The sequence below is a fragment of the Homo sapiens genome, chromosome 19 (assembly GCF_000001405.40).
Source record: "Homo sapiens chromosome 19, GRCh38.p14 Primary Assembly".
In the NCBI taxonomy this organism is placed as follows: Eukaryota; Metazoa; Chordata; class Mammalia; order Primates; family Hominidae; genus Homo; species Homo sapiens.
In genome coordinates this window covers 41,430,443-41,454,138 of record NC_000019.10, presented here as the reverse complement: position 1 = coordinate 41,454,138, position 23,696 = coordinate 41,430,443, and the positions used below count along the sequence as shown (strand labels likewise).

General features: G+C 50.5%; 2 protein-coding genes and 1 long non-coding RNA gene across 18 annotated transcripts, besides 3 other annotated features; 2 read left to right on the top strand and 1 right to left on the bottom strand.

Annotated features, from left to right (window-relative positions):
• Nucleotides 1–4,546: 4,546 nt before the first annotated feature.
• On the top strand, nucleotides 4,547–5,204 carry LOC107985329 (uncharacterized). The gene is made up of 2 exons (XR_001753941.2): nucleotides 4,547–4,630; nucleotides 5,050–5,204. It is a non-coding gene; the product is annotated as an uncharacterized LOC107985329 (long non-coding RNA).
• Nucleotides 4,871–4,930: an enhancer, noted in NCBI's record as "active region_14683". NCBI's record gives its function as "activates an Ori minimal core promoter by ATAC-STARR-seq in GM12878 lymphoblastoid cells {active_cell/tissue: GM12878}" and the evidence as "EXISTENCE:reporter gene assay evidence [ECO:0000049][PMID:35858748]".
• A 4,169-nt stretch (nucleotides 5,205–9,373) lies between the features above and the next one.
• Nucleotides 9,374–10,983, bottom strand: ERICH4 (glutamate rich 4). Of its 2 annotated transcripts, none has more exons than NM_001130514.3 (2): nucleotides 10,796–10,983; nucleotides 9,374–10,133 (listed from the first exon to the last, which is right to left on the bottom strand). In NM_001130514.3, exons 1-2 carry the CDS (start codon nucleotides 10,967–10,969, stop codon nucleotides 9,915–9,917), a joined length of 393 nt encoding a protein of 130 aa, NP_001123986.1. In that variant the 5' UTR covers nucleotides 10,970–10,983; the 3' UTR covers nucleotides 9,374–9,914. The 2 variants fall into 2 exon arrangements, with proteins under 2 accessions (NP_001123986.1, XP_016881608.1); XM_017026119.2 differs by having other exon boundaries at nucleotides 9,462–10,196.
• DMAC2 (distal membrane arm assembly component 2) lies at nucleotides 14,227–22,821 on the top strand. Of its 15 annotated transcripts, none has more exons than NR_030765.2 (6): nucleotides 14,227–14,257; nucleotides 15,725–15,904; nucleotides 17,667–17,747; nucleotides 20,466–20,602; nucleotides 20,705–20,867; nucleotides 21,731–22,821. NR_030765.2 is itself a non-coding variant. In NM_018035.3 (6 exons), exons 1-6 carry the CDS (start codon nucleotides 14,240–14,242, stop codon nucleotides 21,906–21,908), a joined length of 774 nt encoding a protein of 257 aa, NP_060505.2. In that variant the 5' UTR covers nucleotides 14,227–14,239; the 3' UTR covers nucleotides 21,909–22,821. The 15 variants fall into 15 exon arrangements, 11 of the variants coding, with proteins under 11 accessions (NP_060505.2, NP_001161343.1, NP_001307767.1 ...); NR_135477.2 differs by having other exon boundaries at nucleotides 17,667–17,761; NR_135478.2 differs by having other exon boundaries at nucleotides 15,725–15,921; nucleotides 17,667–17,761.
• Nucleotides 14,323–14,492: an enhancer, noted in NCBI's record as "active region_14682". NCBI's record gives its function as "activates an Ori minimal core promoter by ATAC-STARR-seq in GM12878 lymphoblastoid cells {active_cell/tissue: GM12878}" and the evidence as "EXISTENCE:reporter gene assay evidence [ECO:0000049][PMID:35858748]".
• Nucleotides 21,153–23,058: an enhancer, noted in NCBI's record as "VISTA enhancer hs1948". NCBI's record gives its function as "enhancer in: heart[7/10]" and the evidence as "EXISTENCE:transgenic organism evidence [ECO:0001131][PMID:17130149]".

Sequence of the window (23,696 nt, the reverse complement as noted above, 5' to 3'; positions counted from 1 at the left end):
CAGCTTCTTTGGCCTTTGGGAGTAAATTTGCATAGGCCTGCTCAAAACAGGATGTTCTGGGGGTTTGGGGGTGTTGTTTTGTTTTGTTTTTTGTTTTGTTTAGAGACAGGGTCTCACTCTGTCACCCAGGTTGGAGTGCAGTGGTGCAATCATGGCACACTGCAGCCTCAAACTCCTAGGCTCAAGCAATCCCCCCACCTTGGCCTCCCAAAGTTCTGGGATTACAAGCATAAGCCACCATGCCCAGCCCTGGACTTTTCTTTAAAGACATTTACACAGTGTAGGAATTACTGTGGGTGCACTGCTCAGGTCCCCTTCTCCAGGATGCTCATTCCTACCTCATAGATGATTTTCCTGCAGAGATTTGACCTCAGCTGAAGGGCAGTCACCTGGTCCAGGTGGTTGCTATTCACCTCCTTCCTGAGAACAGCCAACAGCCAGGGACACGCTAGCACAGAGATATAAGAGCGACCAAGGTGAGGCCCCTTCTGTGCTGCGGTGCATGCTCCAGAGCCTCCCTGGGATCAGACTTAAGAGGGTCTCCAGCCAGATCTGGTCTTCGCTGCTTTCCTCGAGCTCCCCAGCGCACTCCTGCAATGCATCTTTTTTTTTTTTTTTTTTTTTTTTGAGACGGAGTTTCACTCTTGTTGCCCAGGCTGGAATGCAATGGCGCAATCTCAGCTCACCACAACCTCTGCCTCGCGGGTTCAAGTGATTCTCCTTCCTCAGCCTCCCAAGTACCTGGGATTACAGGCATGCACCACCACGCCCAGCTAATTTTGTATTTTTAGTAGAAACGGGTTTCTCCATGTTGGTCAGGCTGGTTTCGAACTCCTGACCTCAGTTGATCCTCCTGCCTCAGCCTTCCAAAGTGCTGGGATTACAGGTGTGAGCCACTGTGCCTGGCCCAATGCACCTCTTGAATCACCTCCTCATGCTTTGCTTTTAGAGAACATGATCCCCAACATGTGATTCCAGCAAAGATTCTAGAAAGCCAACCGTGACAATCACTTCTGGGTTTAGATGACCCCCCCCCACCACAAGATGGCAGTGAGCACCTCATCACAGAGGTGCTGATGGTCTGCAGCACCGCGCCAGGCCAGAACGTGCCTTTTACAGAAGAAAATAACCCAGTAGCTGACTAGGATGGTGAGGAGGGCTGGTGAGCACTGCGGTAGTGAGAGGGACACTAGCATCACTGAGATGCAAGTGATGGTCATTTTTCATAGGTCAAAGCTCAAAGCAGGGGACAGTTACAGGGCAGGGCTTCATAGCACCAGTGTGATGAAAGTATCTGGGAGTGGCTAAGGCCAGCACTATGCCATGGGAAGCAAGGTGGGCCTGAGGAGGAGGCAGCAGCGTCAGCCTGCAACAAGTGGGGGCTGCCCTGCAGAGACCTAAGAGTCATGTTATAGAGCACAGTGTCTGTAAGGCCAAGAAGTGTGGACAGCCAAGTGTGTCAATTACTAGACATACTCAAGAGGAGCAGGAAGGGCAGGGCATGGTGGCTCATGCCTGTAATCCCAGCTACTTGGGAGACTGAGGAAGGAGAATCGCTTGAACCCGGGAGGTGAAAATTGCAATGAGCCGAGATTTCGCCACTGCACTCCAGCCTGTGTGATGGGAGCGGGACTCCATCTCAAAACAAAAAAAGAAAAAGGAAAAAGAAAAAAAGAAAAACCTAGGTATACTTCTCAAGCAAATAAAAATAATCAAAACCAATATCATGCCCGGGCACAAATTTCATATATATAACAGATTTAAATATATGAGGGTGATTATCCTCTCATATCTCCATTTTTTTTTGTTTTTCCATTTTTTTCTTTACTAAAAAAAGTTAATGCCAATGACACACAATTTTTTTTTTTTTTTTTTTTTTTGAGATGGAGTCTCACTTCTTCGCCCTGGCTGGAGTGCAATGGCGTGATCTCGACTCACTGCAAAGTCTGCCTCCTGGGTTCAAGCAATTCTCCTGCCTCAGCCTCCCAAGTAGCTGGGACCACAGGAGTGAGCCACCACACCCAGCTAATTTTTGTATTTTTAATAGAGACGGGGTTTCACCATATTGGCCAGGCTGGTCTCAAACTCCTGATCTCAAATAATCTGCCCGCCTCGGCCTCCCAAGATTCTGGGATTATAGGCGTTGAGCCACTGCGCCCCGCCTATGTATGATTTTTTTTTTAATTTTATTTTCATAAGTTTTTGGGGAACAGGTGGTATTTTGTTACATGAGTAATTTCTTTAGTTGTGATTTGTGAGATTTTGGTTCACCCATCAACTGAGAAGTATACACTGAACCCAATTTGTGGTCTTTTATCCCTCACCCCCTTCCCACCCTTTCCCCCGGAGTCCCTGAAGTCCATTGTATCATTCTTATGCCTTTGCATCTTCATAGCTTAGCTCTTGAACCCTTACTTTCTGTTTGAGGGAGAAGACATATCATCTACAAGTAGATACTGTGTAAACATTCCATTGCATGACTATCCCATAACTTATTTATTATTTGTGTTTGGTTATTTGCTGCTATGTAACAACCCCACTCCCAACTAAATGGTGTGACAATTCCATGATTCTGTGGATCAAAAATTCTGAAAAGTCAAACCCAAGGAGTTTTGTCTCTGCTCCATGATGCTAAAGCCTCCGCAGGGGTGAGGCGAATGGCTCAGGGTGACTGAAAAGCTCAGGGTTGGAACAGCTGGGGATGAGGCCTCTATGTATAAGATGATTCTTCACTCACAGGTCTGAAACTATGGTGGGGACAGCCAGAAGGCTCGGCTCAGCTGGGACAGTCACCTGAGCCCTACACATGACCTCTCCAACATGGTGATCCTGAAGCAGTTGGGTTTCTTACACAGCATCACACTTTTCTTTTTTTTTTTTTTTTTTGAGATGAAATATTGCTCTATCACCCAGGCTGGAGTGCAGTGGCACGATCTCAGCTCACTGCAGCCTCCGCCTACCAGGTTCAAGCGATTCTCCTGCTCCAGCCTCCCAAGTTGCTGGGATTGCAGGCGCCTGCCACCAAGCCCAGCTAATTTTTGTATTTTTAGTAGAGACGGGGTTTCACCTTGTTGGCCAGGCTAGTCTTGACCTCTTGACCTCAGGCGATCCGCCTGCCTCGGCCTCCCAAAGTGCTGGGATTACAGGCATGAGCCACCGCGCCCGGCCAAAGCTCACACTTCTTATGATTCAGCCTTAGATGTCACATCAGTTCATTTTCCCCACACTTATTAGTGTTAGAAGTCACAAGCCCACCCATACTCAGGGGACTGGCACACAGACCCCACTCTCAATGGAAGGGGTGGGACACCACCATTCCTGCTGATGGGCATTTGGGTAACTTCCTGTTTGAAGCTATTAAGATTGGGCTGCTGTGGCCGGGCGCAGTGGCTCACGCCTCTAATCCCAGCACTTTGGGAGGCCGAGGCGGGCGGATCACGAAGTCAGGAGATCGAGACCATCCTGGCTAACACGGTGAAACCCCGTCTTTACTAAAAATACCAAAAAAAAAAAAAATTAGCTGGGCATGGTAGCGGGCGCCTGTAGTCCCAGCTACTCGGGAGGCTGAGGCAGGAGAACGGCGTGAACCCGGGAGGCGGAGCTTGCAGTGAGCCGAGATTGTGCCACTGCACTCCAGCCTAGGCGACAGAGCAAGACTCCGTCTCCAAAAAAAAAAAAAAAGATTGGGCTGCTGTGACTATTCTAGTAGGTGTCTTTGGTGAGCGCCTACACGTGTTTCTCTTTTTCTCTTTAGTATATGCCCAGGAGGGGAACTGCTGGCTCCCAGATACCGTATGTTCAGGGTCACACACACTTCCACAGGGTTTTCCAAAGCCCTTGTACCAGCACGCACTCCCAGCACCTGTGTGACTGCTCCAGCTGTCCCACAGTCTCATCAGTTCTATTGCTGATATTTTCATTTTAGCTTAAGTTATATTTAATAGGAAAATTACCGTTGCCTCTGCCCCCCGTTCCTGCCTGTAGGAGTTTCTCGTAGCTGTTGCTACAGGTGGCCACAAATCTGTCACTTAAACCCACACAAATTGATGTCCTTATGGCTTTGGAGTCAGAAGTGTCAACTGAAGGTACTAGCAGGGCTGTACTGACCTGGTGGCCTCAGGGAGCATCTGTGCTGCTTCTCCACCTTCTAGAGGCTGCTGCATCCCTCGCTCCAGCCCCTTCCTGACACCACTCACCCTCCTACTTCTGTTATCACATCCTCACCTTCTCTGTGTTCAGGGCTCCCTCTGTCTCTCTCTTGCAAGCACACTTGGGATTCCATTGAGGGCCACCCACATAACCCAGGAGAATTTCTCCACCTCAATATCCTTAACAACTGCAGAGCCCTTTTGCCATAAAAGTTACCATTCACGGGTTCCAGGGATTGTGACATGGGTAGCTTTAGGAGTGATTATTCCTGCCTGTCTCCCGCTCACCAGAACTTGGACTTTCTCTCTCAACAGGAGCCCCCTGTGTGGGAATAGCCTGTCTCAACGACGCCCTCTATAAGGACCTGCTTCCTCAAAGGACCTCATAGTCGGGTCCTGCCCCTCAGTGTCCAGTCTGCCTTGGCTGGAGGGGCTGCAGGGGTGTGTTGGCGCCACCTGGTGGAGACAGGGCATCACAGCAGGTGGGAGCCCAGTAGAAGCACAACCAAAACATGGGTAATGTTTAAAATTTTCTGGCTAAGCGCTGTGGCTCACGCCTGTAATTCCAGCACTTTGGGAGGCCGAGGTGGGTGGATCACATGAGGACGGGAGTTTGAGACCAGCCTGGCCAACATGGTGAAACATCCCCTCTACTAAAAAATACAGAAAAATTAGCTGGACATGTGGCGCGCTCCTGTAATCCCAGCTACTCGAGAGGCTGAGACACGAGAATCGCTTCAACCCCGGAGGGGTTGCCGAGATCGCGCCACTGCACTCCAGGCTGGGCGATAGAGCGAGACTCTGTCTCAAAAAAAAAAAAAGAAGAGGGGAGGCGAGGGGAGGGGAGGGGAAAAGGGGGAATTTGTTTGGAGCTGAGACATCCATCTTCTCCTGACCTCAGATATTTGCACTCCTGGTTATGAAGCCTTCACACTTGGACTGAATACACCACCAGCTTTCCCGATTTCCAGCGTGCAAATGGCAGATCGTGAGACTTCTCAGCTTCCATAATTACATGAGCCAATTTATATATATAAATTGGGTCCTCCAGAAAAACAGAATAAATTATATATATAATTATACGCATAACTTAATTAAATTATACGTATAACTTAGCTATATATATAATTTATTCTGTTTTTCTGAAGAACCCTACTGACACAAATGTTGAGCATCTTTTCATGTGCTTATTGGCTTAATAACTTGTACATCTTCTTTGGGGAAATGTCTATTCAAGTTCTTTGCCCATTTTGTAACTGAACTATTAATATTTGTCTTTACATTGTTGAGTTGTAAAAGTTCCTTATATATTCTAGATACTAGAGCCTTATCAGATATATTTCTGCAACTATTTTCTCCTAATATATAGGTTGTGTTTTTATTTTCTTTTTCTTTTTTTTTTTATTGAGACAGTCTCACTCTGTCACCCAGGCTGGAGTGCAGTGGCATGATCTTGGCTCACTGCAGACTCGACCTGCCAGGCTCAAGCAATTCTCCCACTTCAGCCTCCTGAGTAGCTGAGGTTATAGGCACTTGCCATCGCACCCAGCTAATTTTTGTATTTTTTAGTAGAGCCGAGGTTTCGCCATGTTGCCTAGGTTGGTCTTGAACTCCCTGCCTCAAAGCGATCTGTCAGCCTCAGTCTCCCTAAGTGCTGGAAGTACAGGTGTGAGCCACAGTGCCCGGCCATCTATTTTCAATAGTGTTTTTTGATGTACACAGGTTTGGAATTTTGATAATGTTCAATTCATCCATTTTTTTTTTTTTTTTTTTGGTTCTTTCTACTGGACCACCACTCTTGAGCCCTCTAATCCAACCTCCACGCGGCAGCCAGAGGGAGCTCTCTAAATGTAATTACTCTTTCCCTGCTCCACCTGCTCAAAACAGTGTCACATTTGTGATTTAAAACAGTATTTCTCAAACCTAATTTGCAAACAAAGCAGGTGGAACTCTTCTTGTATGCACAGCATCTGATTTGGTTGGTCTGGCATGGGTCTGGGAGTGAGCACACCTACCAAGCGGCTGCTGGGGTAACTTGCGTTTTCCACTGATGATTTCAGCAATGTTTCCGGTCCCACATGCTCCTCCAGAACCTTGTACTCCCCCATGAAAAGGTGGAGTCCATTTCCCCTTCCTTTATTTATTTTTTTGAGACGAAGTTTCACTCTTGTTGCCCAGGCTGGAGCGCAATGGCGTGATCTCAGCTCACCGCAACCTCCGCCTCCTGGGTTCAAGCAATGCTTCTACCTCAGCCTCCCGAGTAGCTGGGATTACAGGTATGTGCCACCACGCCCAGCTAATTTTGTATTTTTAGTAGAGACGGGGTTTCTCCATGTCGGCCAGGCTGGTCTCAAACTCCCGACCTCAGGTGATCCGCCCGCCTCAGCCTCCCAAAGTGCTGGGATTACAGGCGGGAGCCACCGCGCCCGGCTATTTCCCCTTCCTTTGAACCTGATCAGGACTTGACGATGGCATCAACATGGTGAGAGTGACCCTGCATGGCTTATGAGGCTGGGTTACACAAGGCGATGTTGCTTCTGACTGGCTCCCTCTCAGGATACATGCCCTTGGAACCCATCCTCTAAGCTCCTTGGGAGCCCAACTTAGCCCATGTGGAGACAAGACAGGGAGAGAAACAGAGGCACCCCCAGCCCTCAGCCAGCATCAACCGCCAGACAGGAGAGCAAATGCGCCAACAATGATTCCAGCTGAAGCCTCAGACAGCGTGGAGCAGAGATGAGGGATCCCTGCAGATTGCAGATGCGTGAGCAAAATGCATGCTGTCACTGTTTTGAAACAACAATGTCTGGGGGCTGTTTGTTATGCAGCAATAGACAGCTGTAACAATGCTGTTACTGCTGTATTCCATGAATGACTGCACTTTGAGTAGCAGGGGGCTAGATCACTAGATAAGCCCCATGGCTTCTGTGTATGCTATTTTTCTACTTTTATATCCTTTTCATTCACTTTTTTTTTTTTTTTTTTTGAGACAGAGTCTCACTCTGTTGCCCAGGTGGGAGTGCAGTGGTGCAATCTTGGCGGACTGCAACCTCCACTTCCCGGGTTCAAGCAATTATTGTGCCTCAGCCTCCTGAGTAGCTGCGACTATAGATGCACCCCCATGCCTGGCTAGTTTCCGTATTTTTAGTAGAGACGGGGTTTTGCCATGTTGGCCAGGCTGATCTCAGACTCCTGACCTCAGGTGATCCACCCACCTTGGCCTCCCAAAGTGCTGGGATTACAGGCGTGAACCACTGCACCCAGCCTCATTCACTTTCTTTACTTGGCTCATTTTTCCTTGTTGCCTCAATTCTCCTCTAAGATCACTTTCCTGACATTTCAGCCTGGGCCTGTTGCCTTCTCTGGGTCCCCTCCGCCTCCTGTGCCTCCCCCATCTCAGCCTTGATCCCTCAGATTATACTTCCTCTGTCCCCACCCTGACCATCTTGGCTGTCCCTGGATAGGGATGGGTATCTTCTCCCACTGGTCTGGGAGATCTGGAAGGACAGGCCTGGAAAAGACTTGGTCACTGCTGGAAGGAGCTCAGTTAGTGTGGTGCTGAGGACAGTACGGGTGAGGCTGGCCCCTTCACCCAAACTCCCACTCTCTTCCATAGATTTCACCTCTGTGGCCCAGGCCATAGGATTAGGGCAACTCCCCTTAAACATCGAGTCCATCCTCCAAGCTGTCCTTTTTTTTTTTTTTTTTTTTTTTTTTGAGACAGAGTCTCGCTCTGTTGCCCAGGCTGGAGTGCAGTGGCGCGATCTCGGCTCACTGCAAGCTCCACCTCCAGGGTTCACTCCATTCTCCTGCCTCAGCCTCCCGAGTAGCTGGGACTACAGGAGCCTGCCACCACACCCGGCTAATTTTTTGTATTTTTAGTTGAGACGGGGTTTCACCGTGTTAGTCAGGATGGTCTCGATCTCCTGACCTCGTGATCCGCCCGCCTCGGCCTCCCAAAGTGCTGGGATTACAGGCGTGAGCCATCGCGCCCGGCCTCATGCTGTTCTTGAATAGTGAGCACCTGTTACAAGTCGCCCCACCAGCCTCTCACTTGTACCCCCCTCATCTCTTTCTCCCCAAGAGACAGAGGACCCTGGCACTTGTGAAGCATGACCCAGACCCTGGGGCCATGGCATCCAACATCCTCATTCCCCATGACCCCTACTGTCTAGATGTAGCTGCCAAGAGACCCCCAGACTCCCCGGGCCTCTGTCTAGAGTGCCAAGACAGAGAGAGAATGCCCTGCCGCTTGCATGCTTTGTGGGGTGTCCTTCCCCCTTCCCTGGCTGCTAGGCGTGACTTCAACGTTCTCCCCAACCCCCAAACAGCAGCACTGACACCAGCTGCAGACCTGGCTCAGGTTAGCTAATGAGGACCAGGCTGGGGATGGAGCCTGAACCCCTAAACCCCAGTCCTGTACCCCACCCTAATCCTGGGGTCTCCACTGGACAAAACGAAGCAGCTTGGTTTTTCGTTGTTATTGTTTTTGAGATAGAGTATCTCTCTGTCTCCCAGGTTGGAGTGCAGTGGCGTGATCTCAGCTCACTGCAGCCTCCGCCTCCCGGGTTCAAGTGATTCTTGTGCCGCAGCCTCCCCAGTAGCTGGGATTACAGGCGCGTGCCACCACACCCAGCTAATTTTTGTATTTTTAGTAGAGACAGGGTTTCACCATGTTGGCCAGGCTGGTCTGAAACTCCTGACCTCAAGTGATTTCCCAGCCTCGGCCTCCCAAAGTGGAAGCGGCTTATTTTTAAGGAGAAAACTCCCGTGGAAAGGAATCAGCACCTCCTCTGTCAACATTTCACTTCTCTGAAAAGACTCTCACTTCCAACAGAAAGTGCTTTGTAACACAACAATGAGGCTGGGCGAGGTGGCTCATGCCTGTAATCCCAGCACTTTGGGAAGCTGAGGCGAGTGGATCACGAGGTCAGAAGTTCGAGACCAGCCTGACCAATATGGTGAAACCCCGTCTCTACTAAAAATACAAAAATTAGTTCCGTGTGGTGGCGTGAGCCTGTAATCCCAGCTACTCAGGAGGCTGAGGCAGGAGAATGGCTTGAACCCAGGAGATGGAGGTTGCAATGAGCCGAGATCACGCCACTGCACTCCAGCCTGGGCAACAGAGTGAGACTCCGTCTCAAAAAAAAAAAAAAAAGAATGAGAACATATGGACACAGGGAGGGGAACAATACACACAAACAAAATTTAGAAACAGGTGAAAATAATTTTAGTAATATTTTTACTAATACTGATATGCTCAAAATATTATTATTTCAATAAGTAATCTAAAAATTATTGAGATGTCTTATGTTCTTTTCATCATACTAAGCCTTTAATATTTGGTGTGTATTTTACACTCACAGCACATCTCAATTTGCAGTCCCCATGTTTCAAGCACTAAATAACCATGTGTGTCCGGTGGCTACCATACTGGACAGCGTTGATCTGAAATCGCATCTGTATGCATCACCAGCATATTTGCAGAGATCCCCATCTCAGCAGCACACCTGAGGCTCATCTGCGAAAGCACCTGCAACTTCTCTACAACCTCCCACATCACCTCCAAACACATCCTCATGTCATCTGCAAACACACCCATAGCTCACAGGCCAATGCCTAAATATCATTGCAGGCACCTTCAGAGAAAGCACTTACTAAAGGGGTATACTTGATTCCACATCTGCTTTGACCTGCAAATCTCCCTTCTCCTTTACATACATTTGCATCTCATTTGTATGTCAATCTAAATCCACTGGCAGAGCCTCAGATCATCATCTCAAAGTCAGGTGGATGTGGGGCTGGGCAGGCCTCCAGGTGTTCCTCCTCCTGCTTCCTCTGGGGCTCTTGATCCTCCTCCTCTTCCTTGCTGCTCTCCTCCTCCTCCTCCAATATGGTGACCAGTTCCTCCCGCAGCGCCCCCATCTCCAGCCCCAGGCTGCACAGCTGTCCCAGCAGCTGGACATCCACTCGGCGCAGGTTCCCCTGCCAGTAGGAAGGGGACGTCACAGGGATGCCACCCCAGAGAGCAAGGGGTCTCTCCAGGACCTGGGTGAGAGCAGGTCCCAACTCATGTCCTGGCCACAGCGCCTGGGCAGGGTCCTCACTGTGCCCATGGACCCTAACTGCCTTCCTGCTTCTCAGAGTGTCTCTTGATCTCTAACTCTTCTCTTTGTCTCTCCATTTCATTGTCCCTGACTTCTCTCTCTCTGTCTCCTCCCTCTCTTATCTATATCTGTCCCTGTTTCCCTTTGTCTCTGTCCCCATTTATTTTTTGTCTTTCCATGCCCCTGTCTCTCTGTCTTTATGTGTTGCCATTTCTCTGCCCCTGCCTTTGGCTCTCTTTCTCTCGCTTGCCCTCTCTCTGCCCTCCCCAACTTTCTCAAATTCAGTCTGTCTCTCCATCTCTGTTCCTGCTCTCCGTCTCTGCTTCCCACCTCTGTCCCTCTCTTTTGGGATCTCCCTGTCCCCACCTCTGTTCCCGTCCCTCACTCTATGTCTGTCTCTCGGTGTCTGTACATGCCTCTCATGTCTCTGCTTCTATCTCTCAGATTCTGTTTTTCGATCTCTGGCCTTCTCTATTTTTGTTCATTTCCATTCATTCTCATTTCCTCTCTTTCTCTTTCCCTTCCAAACCCCTCACTCACCAGCTCCTCCCTGATCCACAGCAGACTATCGCAGGCACCTCCAGTGTCTGCCCCTGCAGTCCTGAGGGTCTGACCAGGGATTTCCACTGGGGAGACCTCCCTCAGGGCCTGGGGGGGTGGGCCCAGCCCCGGAGGCACCAGTCCAGCCTGATTCAGCTGCCTCCACAGTTCCATCGTCTCTGAGCTATGGCTGCAAGGAGCAGGAAGTAGCAAGGTCCAGGGTGGCCTGGTCCCCTGGGGAGCTGTGTGCGTGGTGGAGAGTAAAGGGCAGAGGGAGTGGGATGGGGGTTCCTGGGAAAGGTATCCCAAAGTCCACTCTTCAGAGAGAATCAGCTGGCCTTGTGCTTTTCTTTTTCCTTCTGAAGTCTAACCTCAACTCTGCTCACAGGGTTCAAACATAGCCTCTTGCAGAGGTCTAACTCCACCCTTCCCTGCCTGTCTCAGGCCTGACCCCTCAGGGGCGCTCAGTGTCTGTAGATGCCTGGCACCCTCTGTCCTTCCACCTGCCCCCCACCACCACTTCTCCAGCCTCTCCTCAGCCTCCATTTGACCTCTGGCTTGCCCATAGCTTGGTCCTTGCTTGTCCTCTTGGCACGGGTCATCCTAGGGCTTTCCCACCAGTGTGCCTTTGGGGGCAGGAATGGCTCCCAGGGGCACCAAGACAGCAATCCCTTAGCTGGAGTGCCTGTGTCCAGGCTGCTGGCCTAGGGCCAAGCAGCCAATTCTGCTGACCCTGGACTTGCCTATGGGTATATTATCCCTGTTGAGGGTGAGGGCTTCTGCTGTGGAAAAGTCTGGGAAGCACTGCAGGCCTCTCTCGGCCTTGGACCCTTCCTTCAGACCCAAGGTGCATATATATACATATATATAATGGTAGATCACGAGGTCAGGAGATCAAGACCATCCTGGCCACATGGTGAAACCCCGTCTCTAGTAAAACACAAAAAATTAGCCGGGCATGCTGCCGCGTGCCTGTAGTCCCAGCTACTCGGGAGGCTGAGGCAGGAGAATGGTGTGAACCCAGGAGGTGGAGGTTGCAGTAAGCCAAGATCACGCCACTGCATTCCAGCCTGGCGACAGAGCAAGACTCCATCTTAAAATAAACAAATGAACAATATATATATATATGTATTTTGTTTTTTGAGACAGAGTCTCGCTCTGTCATCCAGGCTGGACTGCAGTGGTGCAATCTTGGCTCACTGCAACCTCCGCCTCCCGGGTTCAAGCGATTCCCCTGCCTCAGCCTCCTGAACAGCTGGGGTTACAGGTGCACGCCACCACACCTGGCGAATTTTTGTATGTTTAGTGGAGACGGGGTTTCACCATGTTAGCCAGGCTGGTCTCAAACCCCTGACCTCAGGTGATCTGCCCACCTCGGCCTCCCAAAGTGCTGGGATTACAGGCGTGAGCCAACGCGCCCAGCCCCAAGTCCCTTTTACCATAGAAAGTAACATAGTCACAGTGCCCAGGGATTCACAGGTATGGGGAGAGGGTTCGTTATTCAGCTGCCACACCCACCTTCCTAAACCTGCTGCCCTTCCAGTTTCCTCACGTGCACAGCCACGCCCGTCTGCTTTTAGTTTCTCAATCTGTTGGCTTAACCTTCAAAACAGGCCCAGGATTTGAGCACTTCTCACCATTCCCTCTGCCCCATCCCCATTCATCTCTTGCCTAGACTGCTACAGCAGCCTCTTTTACTGGTCCCCTGCATCCACCCTTGCCCTCTAAGGCAAGGGTCCCCAGTCCCTGGGCCAAGGACCAGTACCAGCCCCTCGCCTGCTAGGAACTGGGCCGCACAGCAAGAGATGAGCAGCGGGTAAGTGAGCATTACCGCCTGAGCTCCGCCTCCTGTCACATCAGCAGTGGCATTAGATTCTCATAGGAGGCAAACCCTATTGTGAACTGTGCGTGCGGGGGATCTAGGTTGCCTGCTCCTTATGAGAATCTAATGCCTGATGATCTCAGGTGGAACAGTTTCATCCCAAAACCATCCCCACCCCACCCCCGACCCCCAGTCTATGGAAAAATTGTCCTCCACGAAACCAGTCCCTGGTAACAAAACGGTTAGGGACCGCTGCTCTAAGGTACATTCTCCACCTGGCAGAAATAATCTTTACAAAATGTAAATCCGATTTTGACACTCCCTTCTTCCCACTGTGAATAGAATAAAACCCTACCAGGCCTGCACCGTCAGCCCCTGCCCACCTCTCAACCCAGTCTCCTATCTCTGTCTGCAAGCTGGTTCCCACCTCAAGGCCTCTCTGCTCTAGAGGCTACCTCTCCCTGCAGCGCTTTTCCCCTAGATCTTTGAATGGCTCTTTCCTTATCATTCACTTCTACTTCAATGTCACCTCTTCAGAGAGGCCTTTGCTGATGGCCCTACACCCAGTCACTTTTTTTTATCTGCTTCTCATCAAAATTGCCTTGCTGATTCCTTTGTTTCTTATTCATCCTCTCCCACATCCATCCTCTCCCAGCCCAGAATGTTGACTTCCTGAGAGAGGGACTGGGTCTGTCCTGCTCACCATGGTAACCTCGGCATCTAGAACAGTGCCTGCCATCACGTGGTAGGTGCTCAGTAAATATTCTTGGAACTAATGAATGAATAATTCTATCCACAAGACTTCACAATGGCTCTTCATGCTGCGATCTAGCTTTCAACTCCAAACTGGTCTTGAGATCTCACCTCAGTCTCTAACCTTGACATCTAACCTCTTCACCCACTCTCTTACCTGACCCTAATTTTTAAAAATGACGTGGTCAGCTTTTCAGCCCCCTCATTCCCTGTTTTTAGGAGGTAGTGAGTGGAAGCTGGAAGAATAAGAAAGCTTGGGGAGACTGCAATTGCAGTCAGGAAAGAAAGGTACTCTGCCGGGAAGAACACCCCATCTTCTCCTAGGGAAAGATTGTGGAGTCCTGGGGTTTGTTTTGTTTTTCAATTTTTTGTTTTAAGAGACAGCGTCTCGCTCTGTCACCCAGGCTGGAGTGCAGTGGCGCAATCACAGCTCACTGCAACTTCGACCTCCCCGGCTCAAGTGATCCCCCCGCCTCAGCCTCGTGAGTAGCTGGGACCACAGGCGTGCACCACCACGCCCGGCTAACATTTTATTTTTTGTGGATATAAGGTTGCCCTATTTCTTTGTGGAGATAAAGGCTCCCCTATGTTGCCCAGGCTGGTCTCGAACTCCTGGCTTCAAGCGATGCTTTCGCCTCGGCCTCCACAAAGTGCTGGGTTCACAGGTGCGTGAGCCCGACCTGTGTCTCGTTTTGAAGCTCAGGGAGAGGGCGCTGTGAGCAATCCCTAAACCCTTTAAGAGTAAAAAGTGCGTGCACCTTTAAGAGGACGGTTAGAAAACGCGGGGCGTGGCCACAGGAGAATAAGTTCGCGCTGAACCAGGAGCGTGGGATAAGACCGGCCCCTTCCGGTTACGAAACCTTAGCAAGATGGCGGCTCCCTGGGCGGTAAGTGACCGGAGTTCCTAGAGCCCCAAATTTGAAGTCCGCTCTACAGCCTCCGCATTCAGGGCCTCTGTTGGCGGCCACGAGAGCAGAAAGCCGTGAGGCAGCAGGCTAAGCCTGGCAAGCCCCGTACTGGGAGTGCAAACCTGTGGCTAGTGGGGGCCAGGAAGGATCTGTGAGGGTCGCAGGCGGAGGAGACGCTTTAGCGAGCGAGAGGAGGCAGGGACTTGGCTGAGAGTATCCAATGGGGATGAGGGAGTGGCTGCCGAAGAGCGACGCGACTAACCAATCAGAGGGAGGGATGACACAAGGAGCTAATGGACAGGCAAGGGTGGGGCCTGTAGGATAAGAGAGCTTGGAAGGGATTGTTCGAGGATGTGGGATTTGGTCTTAGAAGACCGAAGGATGAATGTAAGGAAAGTTAGTGGGAGATTGACGAATTTTTACAGAAAACTCAAAAGCATGATGGGTGGGGGAACCAAGAGGTCAATTTGGAGGTTCTAAGGGCATGATCTGGGTGAAATTAAGAGGAGAATTTGAGATATTCTTTCAGAGGATTTAAAATCAAGGAATGAATTTAGGGAAAATTAAAGAGGTTGGCAGCTTTAAACTTTTGAGGAAAATAAGGGTTTGGGTAAAATTATCGAGATAATTTGAAAAAAAAAAAGAATTTGGTTAAAGCAAAGAGAAATTGGGGTAGATTAAGAGGAGACCTTGAAAGCAAAATTGAAGAGTTTGGGGGCTTCTTCCCATTGGCCACACCCCTCGACTTTCTTACTCTCCTCTTCAAAGCTCATGCTTTTTATACCCTTCTCGGTTCAGGGGTGTCCAATCTTTTGGCTTCCCTGGGCCACGCTGTTCGAAGAAGAAGAATTGTCTTGGGCCACACATAAAATACACTAACCATAACTGATGAGCCAAAAAAAAAAAAAAAAAAATCACAAAAATATCCTCCTAATGTTTTAAGAAAGTTTGCATGTTTGTGTTGGGCTGCATGCAGGCGGCGGGTTGGACAAGCTTGGTTGGTTTTAGGGATTGCTCAGAGCACCCTCTCCTTGAGGTTTGGAGATAAGTTTTTAAGATTATATTCTGGGGAAAGAAAGAAGTCATTTGGGAAGACCCCAGCAGAAGAATTGGGTAATTAAGGGGCAAATCTGTGGAAAATTAAGAGGTCAAATAATGCAGGTTTTGAGTGATAAGGGTTTGGGGGAAAGTTAGAGGAAGAATTTAGGAAAATCAACAATATATGGCTAGTCGAGAAAATTTAGGGTTCACTAAGGGGAGGAGGAACTTGGAAAAAACATGGGGAAATTTTTGGAATCTCAAAGACAGTTTTGAAGTTTTGAAGGAAGAACTTAGGGTGAGTTGGGAAGCAGAGGGATTGAGGTTCATGGAGCAAGAACTGGGGGATCCAGCTCTGTGTCTCCCAGGAGGCTCCAGGCTCAGCTCCTTTCCTCTCCCCCTCCCCAGTCCCTGCGCCTGGTCGCCCCCATGTGGAATGGGCGTATCAGGGGCATCCATCGCCTGGGTGCGGCAGTGGCCCCAGAGGGCAATCAGAAGAAGAAAAGGACAATACTCCAGTTCCTGACCAACTATTTCTACGATGTGGAGGCTCTGAGGGATTACTTGCTCCAAAGGGAGATGTACAAGGTGCATGAGAAAAATCGGTGAGAATCCCTGGTCTGCAAGACCCTGTGGAGACCCTGGCCCACCAGAGCCCAGGTCCTGTCCTTGCCATTCCCAGGCAGCACTGTGGCTTCCAGTGCCAGCCTTGATGTCTCTTGCAGCTCCATCTCCAGGCTGTACCCTTCTCAAGGACTCCAGCTCACATAGGCAGTTTGCCACCCACCAGCTCCACTCAGAGTCTAACTGGCATCTCAAACCTAACATGGCTAAAGCCAAACCCTGATTTCTCCCCTAAAAACATCTGCTCACTCCCAAGCCTTCCCATCCCAGTAAACACTGGTGCTGCCCACCCAGTTGTTCAGGCCAAATTCTAAGGAGTCATCCCTAATTCCTCTCTTTGCTTCCCTGCCCTCCACATCCAGACCATCAATAAAATACTAGAATATCTCAGATTTGACCAGTTCTCACTGCCTTCACCATTCGTAGCCTGATCCCTTATAGTTGAATCACTCAATAAGCTAACTGGGTTTTTGTTCCCATACTCTTTTTTTTTTTTTTCTGAGATGGAGTCTTGCTCTGTCTCCCAGCCTGGAGTGTAGTGGCGCAATCTAAGCTCACTGCAACCTCCACCTCCCAGGTTCAAGCAATTCTCCTGCCTCCGCCTCCCAAGTAGCTGGGATTACAGGCGCCCGCCACCAGGCCCAGCTAATTTTTGTATTTTTAGTAGAGATGGGTTTTCACCATGTTAGCGAGGCTGCTCTCGAACTCCTGACCTCAGGTGATCCGCCTGCCTCGGTCTCCCAGAGTGCTGGGATTACAGGCATGAGCCACCACACCCCGCCAAAATTTGTTTTGTTTTGTTTGAGACAGAGTCTCACTCTGTCGCACATGCTGGAGTACAGTGGTGTGATCATGGCTCATTGCAATCTCCACCTCCTGGGTTCAAGCGATTCTCCCGCCTCAGCCTCCCAAGTAGGTGAGATTACAGGCAGGCGCCACCACACCTAATTTTTCTATTTTTAGTAGAGATGGGGTTTCACCATGTTGGCCAGGCTGGTCTCGAAATCCTGACCTCAGATGATCCACCTGCCTCGGCCTTCCAAAGTGCTGGGATTACAGGCGTGAGCCACCACACCTGGCCTGTCCCATAGTTTTTTATAATCTACAAAGCAGCTGAAGGAATCTTATCATCACCAGCTCAAAACCTTCAAATAAGAGCCAATCTCCAAGGCCTAAAACATAGCTCCTACTGAGCTTTGAGACCCCCTATCAGGACTCCACTGGCCCCTTCAGCATGACATCCCTATTTCTTATTTATTCAACCATCCTAATTCAAGTCTCTGAGCCTTTATACTCTGTTCCTTCTCACCACTCAAATCCCTGCTCAAATGTCACCTCCTCCAATTAACACCCAAACTCAGTTAGCCTCCACCATCCCCACTCCTCTGCTCCCTAGCCCTCACAGTCAGCCTCTCTGCTTTGTTTGGTCATGGAATTGACATTCTCTGCAGTTTGCTGTTATTTCCTGGGTTGTTATCTGTTTCTCCCTGTATAATAGCTTGGATTACTGCAGTAATCTCCAGACTGGGCAGGGATGTTATCTGCCTTGGTCACCACTTTGCCCCCAGTGCCCAGCACTTAGGAGGTGGGCAATAAATATTTTCAGCCTGACTGAATCTGTCTGTGTGCCTGGTTCTCTGGACTCTGCCCCTCTTAACAGCACTGGGGCATCGTGAGGGCTGTGGTGCTCCCCAGGCCTCACCCTTAGCTACCATTTTCTCTGCAGATCTTACACCTGGCTGGAGAAGCAACATGGTCCATACGGCGCAGGTGCCTTTTTCATCCTGAAGCAGGGAGGCGCAGTCAAGTATGACCGCTAAGGTGTTAGAACGGGCTGGGGCAGGTGGTGGGGTATCTCTCTAACATCCAGGTTCTGCAGTCACACAGGCTTCAGAGTCCCCTGGTCTCTGCCGCCTCCTGGCTGTGTGGCTTGGGACTTGTTCCTGAGCTTCAGTTTTGTCACGTGTAAAATGGGATGGTGGTCATTTCTAACCCACAAGGTTTGCTATAAAGAGTGAACAGGGGCCGGGCACGGTGGCTCACGCCTGTAATCCCAATGCTTTGGGAGGCCAAGGCGGGCGGATCACCTGAGGTCAGGAGTTCGAGAGCAGCTTGGCCAAAATGGCGAAACCCTGTCTCTACTAAAAATACAAAACTTAGCTGGGCGTGGTGGCAGGCGCCTGTAATCCCAGCTACTGGGGAGGCTGAGGCAGGAGAATCGCATGAACCCGGGAGGTGGAGGTTGCAGTGAGCTGAGATTGCACCACTGCACTCCAGCCTGGGGGACAGGGCAAGACTCCATCTCAAAAGTGTCAAAAAAAAAAAAAAAGACTGAACGGAGCTGGGCACACTGGCTCATTCTGTAATCCCAGCACTTTGGGAGGCCGAGACAGGAAGGTCACTGGAGGCCAGGAGTTTGAGAACAGCCTCAGCAGCTTTGTGAGACCCTGTCTCTACAAAAAATGTTTTAAATTAGCCAGGTATGGTGGCACATGCCTGTGGTCCCAGCCACTCAGGAGGCTAAGGCGGGAGAATCGCTTCAGTCCAGGAGGCTACAGTGAGCTGTAGTCACACCACTGAACTCTAGCCTGGGCAACACAGGGAGACCTCATCACAAAAAATAATAATAGGCCGGGCGCGGTGGCTCACACCTGTAATCGCAGCACTTTGGGAGGCCGAGGCTGGTGGATCATCTGAGGTCAGGAGTTCGAGACCAGCCTAGCCAACGTGGTGAAACCCTGTCTCCACTAAAAATACAAAATTAGCTTGGCATGGTGGCGCACGCCTGTAATGCCAGCTACTTAGGAGGCTGAGGCAGGAGAATCCCTTAGAAGCCGGGATGCAGAGGTTGCAATGAGCCAAGATCACGCCACTGCACTCCAGCCTGGGTGACAGAGCAAGACTCTGTCTCAAAATAATAATAATAATGGCTGGGCGTGGTAGCTCATGCCTTTGCACTTTGAGAGGCCAAGGCAGGTACAGCACTTGAGCCCAGGAGTTCAAGACCAGCCTCGGCAACATAGTGAAACCTCGTCTCTACCAAAATACAAAATTACCCAGGCATGGTGGTGCATGCCTGTAATCCCAGCTACCCAGTGGGACCCTGTCAGGGGGAGTGAGAGATTAACTGTGATTTTGCAATGTAAGAAGCCTAGCAATGCATATGTGCTCAATAATTTTTTTTTTTTTTTGAGACAAGAGTCTTGCTCTTGTCGCCCAGGCTAGAGTGCAGTGGCACAATCTCGGCTCACTGCAACCTCCATCTCCTGGGTTCAAGCAATTCTCCTGCCTCAGCCTCCCAAGTACCTGGGATTATAGGTGCACACTACCACGCCCGGCTAATTTTTTTTATTTTTGGTAGAGACAGGGTTTTACCATGTTGGCCAGGCTGGTCTCCAACCCCTGACCTCAAGTGATCCACCCACCTCGGCCTCCCAAAGTGCTGGGGATTACAGGCGTGAGCCACTGGTGGCGCCTGGCCTGTGCTCAATAATGTTTTTCTTTCTTTCCTTCTTCCCCGCCTCCTTTCTCCTTCCCTTTCTCTTTCCTTTGCTTTTTTTCTTTTTTTGGAAAAGACAGTTCACATAGACTTCATCTACCCCTCCATCTGGTTTGAGCACTTCCTCTGGCAACTTCCTTAGAAACAGTATACATGTTTGAAAATGTCCCTTAACTTCTGCCCATCTACAAGGATTCTTGCATTTTACCTCTTTGCTCTTATGTTATCTGTAATCTCGCTGACCCTCAGTTTCTAGGTATGTAAAATTGGCAAAACATTCCTTTTTTTTTTTTTTTTTTTTTGAGATAGGGTCTCCCAGGCTGGAGCACAGTGGCATGATCACAACTCACTACAGCCTCGACCTCCTGGGTTCAAGCTATCCTCCCACCTCAGCCTCCCAAGTAGCTGAGACCACAGGTGCAAGCCACCAAGCCCAGCTAATTTTTGTTTTTTTGTTTTTTTTTTGAGATGGAGTCTCGCTCTGTCACCCAGGCTGGAGTGCAGTGGCACGATCTCGGCTCACTGCAAGCTCCGCCTCCCAGGTTCAAACAATTCTCCTGCCTCAGCCTCCCAAGAAGCTGGGAGTACAGGCGCCTGCCACCATGCTCAGCTAATTTTTTTGTATTTTTAGTAGAGATGGGGTTTCACCGTGTATTAGCCAGGATGGTTTCGATCTCCTGACCTCGTAGTCCGCCCACCTCGGCTCCCAAAGTGCTGGGATTACAGGCGTGAGCCACCGCACCTGGCCAATTTTTGTATTTTTTCATAGGGACGAGGTCTCACTATGTTGCCCAGGCTGGTCTCAAACTCCTGAACTCAAGTGATTCTCCTGCCTCAGCCTCCCAAAGTGCTGGGATTACAGGCGTGAGCCACTGCGCACAGCCAGATGGAGTCTTTTTCTAAGATGGAATTAGTTATGTCAAGGGTGACCTATACATATTATATAGGGCTGGGGAAGGTTCTGAAGAGGCTGGAGGCCTGGGGCAGGTTCAGGTGCCCTGCTGACACTCCCTTTCCCGTTTCCAGGTTTCGAGACAAGGAGTGGATCAGGCCAGATAAGTATGGCCATTTCTCTCAGGAGTTCTGGAATTTCTGTGAAGTGCCTGTCGAAGCTGTGGATGCCGGTGACTGTGACATCAACTACGAGGGCCTGGATAACCTCCGTGAGTGCGGTGGGGTGGAGATGGGACAGGCCTCTATGTTTTCCCTTTGGTGATGGGCTCCAGAAAGGCTCCTGGTGCCATCCCACCCTCTCCCCACCGCAGTCCGCCTGAAGGAGCTCCAGTCCTTGTCGCTGCAGCGCTGCTGCCACGTGGACGACTGGTGTCTCAGCCGCCTCTACCCACTGGCCGACTCGTTGCAGGAGCTCTCGCTGGCCGGTTGCCCCCGCATCTCCGAACGGGGCCTCGCCTGCCTCCACCACCTCCAGTGAGACCTCAGCTCAGGCTGGGCCACATGCCCAGGCACCTCTCCCACCTAACCCAGATGCAGGAGAGGAAGTGGGGAGGGGCAATGTTAGGCAGTTCTCATATCCCCCTGCATCCATCACAAACCTAGAGTATTTATGGTAGATGAGCAGTCACAGTGAGTCTCTGGAAGAATTAAATGACTCCTGGTTTTCTTCCTTTTTGTTTTAGTCAAAACTGTGTGATATCGACGCTGTTGCAGAACAGCAGGAGCTGGAGTTGCATATTTGCAATTAACACAGTGGGCTTCATGTGCCTGGACAGCTATAAAGATTTTATTTTAGGAAGCTAAGGTTGAAATTTGGGGCCAGTACCTCCCTATACACACACACATGCACGCATGCACGCACGCACACACACACACGCACGCACACACACTGTCCTGTAAGGTTGAAATTTGGGGCCAGTACCTCCCTACACACACACACACACACACACACACACACACACGCACGCTGTCCTGTACCTCCCTACACACACGCACACGCTGTCTGTACCTCCCTACACACACACACACACACACACACGCTGTCCTTATACTGGCTTATCTCCCTATACACACACACACACACACACACACGCTGTCCTGTACCTCCCTACACACACACACACACATGCTGTCCTTACACTGGCTTACCTCCCTATACACACACACACACACACACGCACACACTGTCCTGTACCTCCCTATACACACACACGCTGTCCTTACACTGGCTTACCTGCCTATACACACACACACACGCACACGCTGTCCTGTACCTCCCTACACACACACACATGCTGTCCTTACACTGGCTTCCTGTCCTTCTCACCCCTTTTCAGGAACCTCCGCAGGCTGGACATCTCGGACCTCCCTGCCGTGTCCAACCCTGGCCTCACTCAGATATTGGTGGAGGAGATGCTGCCCAATTGCGAGGTTGTGGGAGTCGACTGGGCTGAGGGCCTGAAGTCAGGGCCGGAGGAGCAGCCTCGGGACACAGCCAGCCCTGTCCCTGCCTAGCCTTTAGCCCTGTCCCCACTCACGTGGCTTCTCAGCGGGCTGCATGGAATGTCTGGTAGCTCACCACACTTCTGGCTTCCATTTGTCTTCACTCAACGTCAGGGTGGGGGAGTGGTGCTGGCCAATCACAGGAGAGAGCGTGAGTTCCCAGTATTTATTCCTGGCTGCCCTTGGCTAAAGGTCACAGCTCCTGTCACCCTGTCAGGCAGCCCTTTCCATGCCCCTGTTCAGGCCTGGGGAGGTAAAGGCTCAGGCTGTTAGTAGCCGCAGAGAGCCACACTCACCTTGTCAGGAGACTCTTCTCAAACTGTCCTTATGTGAGTGCACTGCCATTTCTTGCAGGGACCCTGACTGACACAGGGGCTACTACTGACACTTTACAGGGATGGTTCTCCCCCGTGCAGGGCCGCTGTGCCCACTGCAGGACATGCAGCATCCTTCGCCCCACTCCACTCACTAAAGGCCAGCGCACCCCAGGCCCCATAGTATTGCTGGTTATGGATTTATTGACTTTATGTTCCAAATTCAGCTTTTTCAGTTGGCTGTTTTTTGAAAGGGGATAAGCTTTGTCAGTAGAGGGCACCAAACAGGCATTATAGGAGGAAAGGCGCCTCCTTCGTGGTTCTTGTTGGTTGTGCTTCTGCCTCTGGACGCCGCAGTGCATGTGGCTTCCCCAGCACCCAGCTCCTGAAGCACCAGGCGGTCAGCAGCTGCCCTTGGCACCCTCCAGCCCTCAGAAGTTGCGTAGGAGACACAGCGCCTCCACTGAGGCACCTCTCTGGGAATAACGTTCCCCAGCACCCCAAATGGATTTCCAGTCAATTCAGAAGCATTTTACCAGTGAAGCCCTCATTATTCCAGTTCACTGTTAAAGCCAGTAATTCTCTATATTAAACTTTCCCTGTTCAAGTTACTCTGTGGTTTTTCTCTCCTGACTGCATCCTGATGGATATAGAGTTGATACCTGGAGTGTCCCAGGAGATGACTCTTAAGATAGGATTCCAGGATTGGTTTGGTTGTGCCTTTGGGCTTGGGCGCCGCGCTGAGCTCTTGCTGATGGGAAACAGGATGCCAGAGGCCCATGGCATGCAATGGCATCATAATCCCACAAGTGCCTGTGGTTGACGGAGATGAGGGACCAACTGAAGCACGTGCCTTGGGACCCCCTGTGGCTGCTGTGCTCAACAGCTGTGCTAGTTGTGCCAATTCTGAAGACCAGGGTATTGGATGGATTCTCCAGAGTGCCCTTGAGTGCCCACAGACAGTGACAAGCTTGGGTCCGCTAACTCAGCTCAAGTCACAGTCTGAGAACTAGACAGCTTTCATGACAGCCCCCAGATTTTTTGTTTGTTTGTTTTTGAGACAGTCTTGCTATGTCACCCAGGCTGGAGTGCAGTAGTGTGATCTCTCGGCTCACTGCAACCTCCACCTCCCGGGTTCAAGCGATTTTCCTGCCTTAGCTTACCGAGTAGCTGGGATTACAGGCGTGTACCACCACGCCAGGCGAATTTTTGTGTTTTTAGTAGAGACAGGGTTTTGCCATGTTGGCCATGCTGGTCTCAAACTCCTGGCCTCAGGTGATCCACCCACCTCAGCCTCCCAAAGTGCTGGGATTACAGGTGTGAGCCACCATGCCCGGCCCAAAAGTTTTTACTTCTTTGGAATGGGGTCATCTAATTGGACCCAGAGTAAACAGGCGATCTTGAACCCCCAAGTCACTCCAAGCGAGTGACTTATCAGCATCTGAGGAACCTACCAGCCTTCCTGTGCTTAGAAACCTTGTGATGT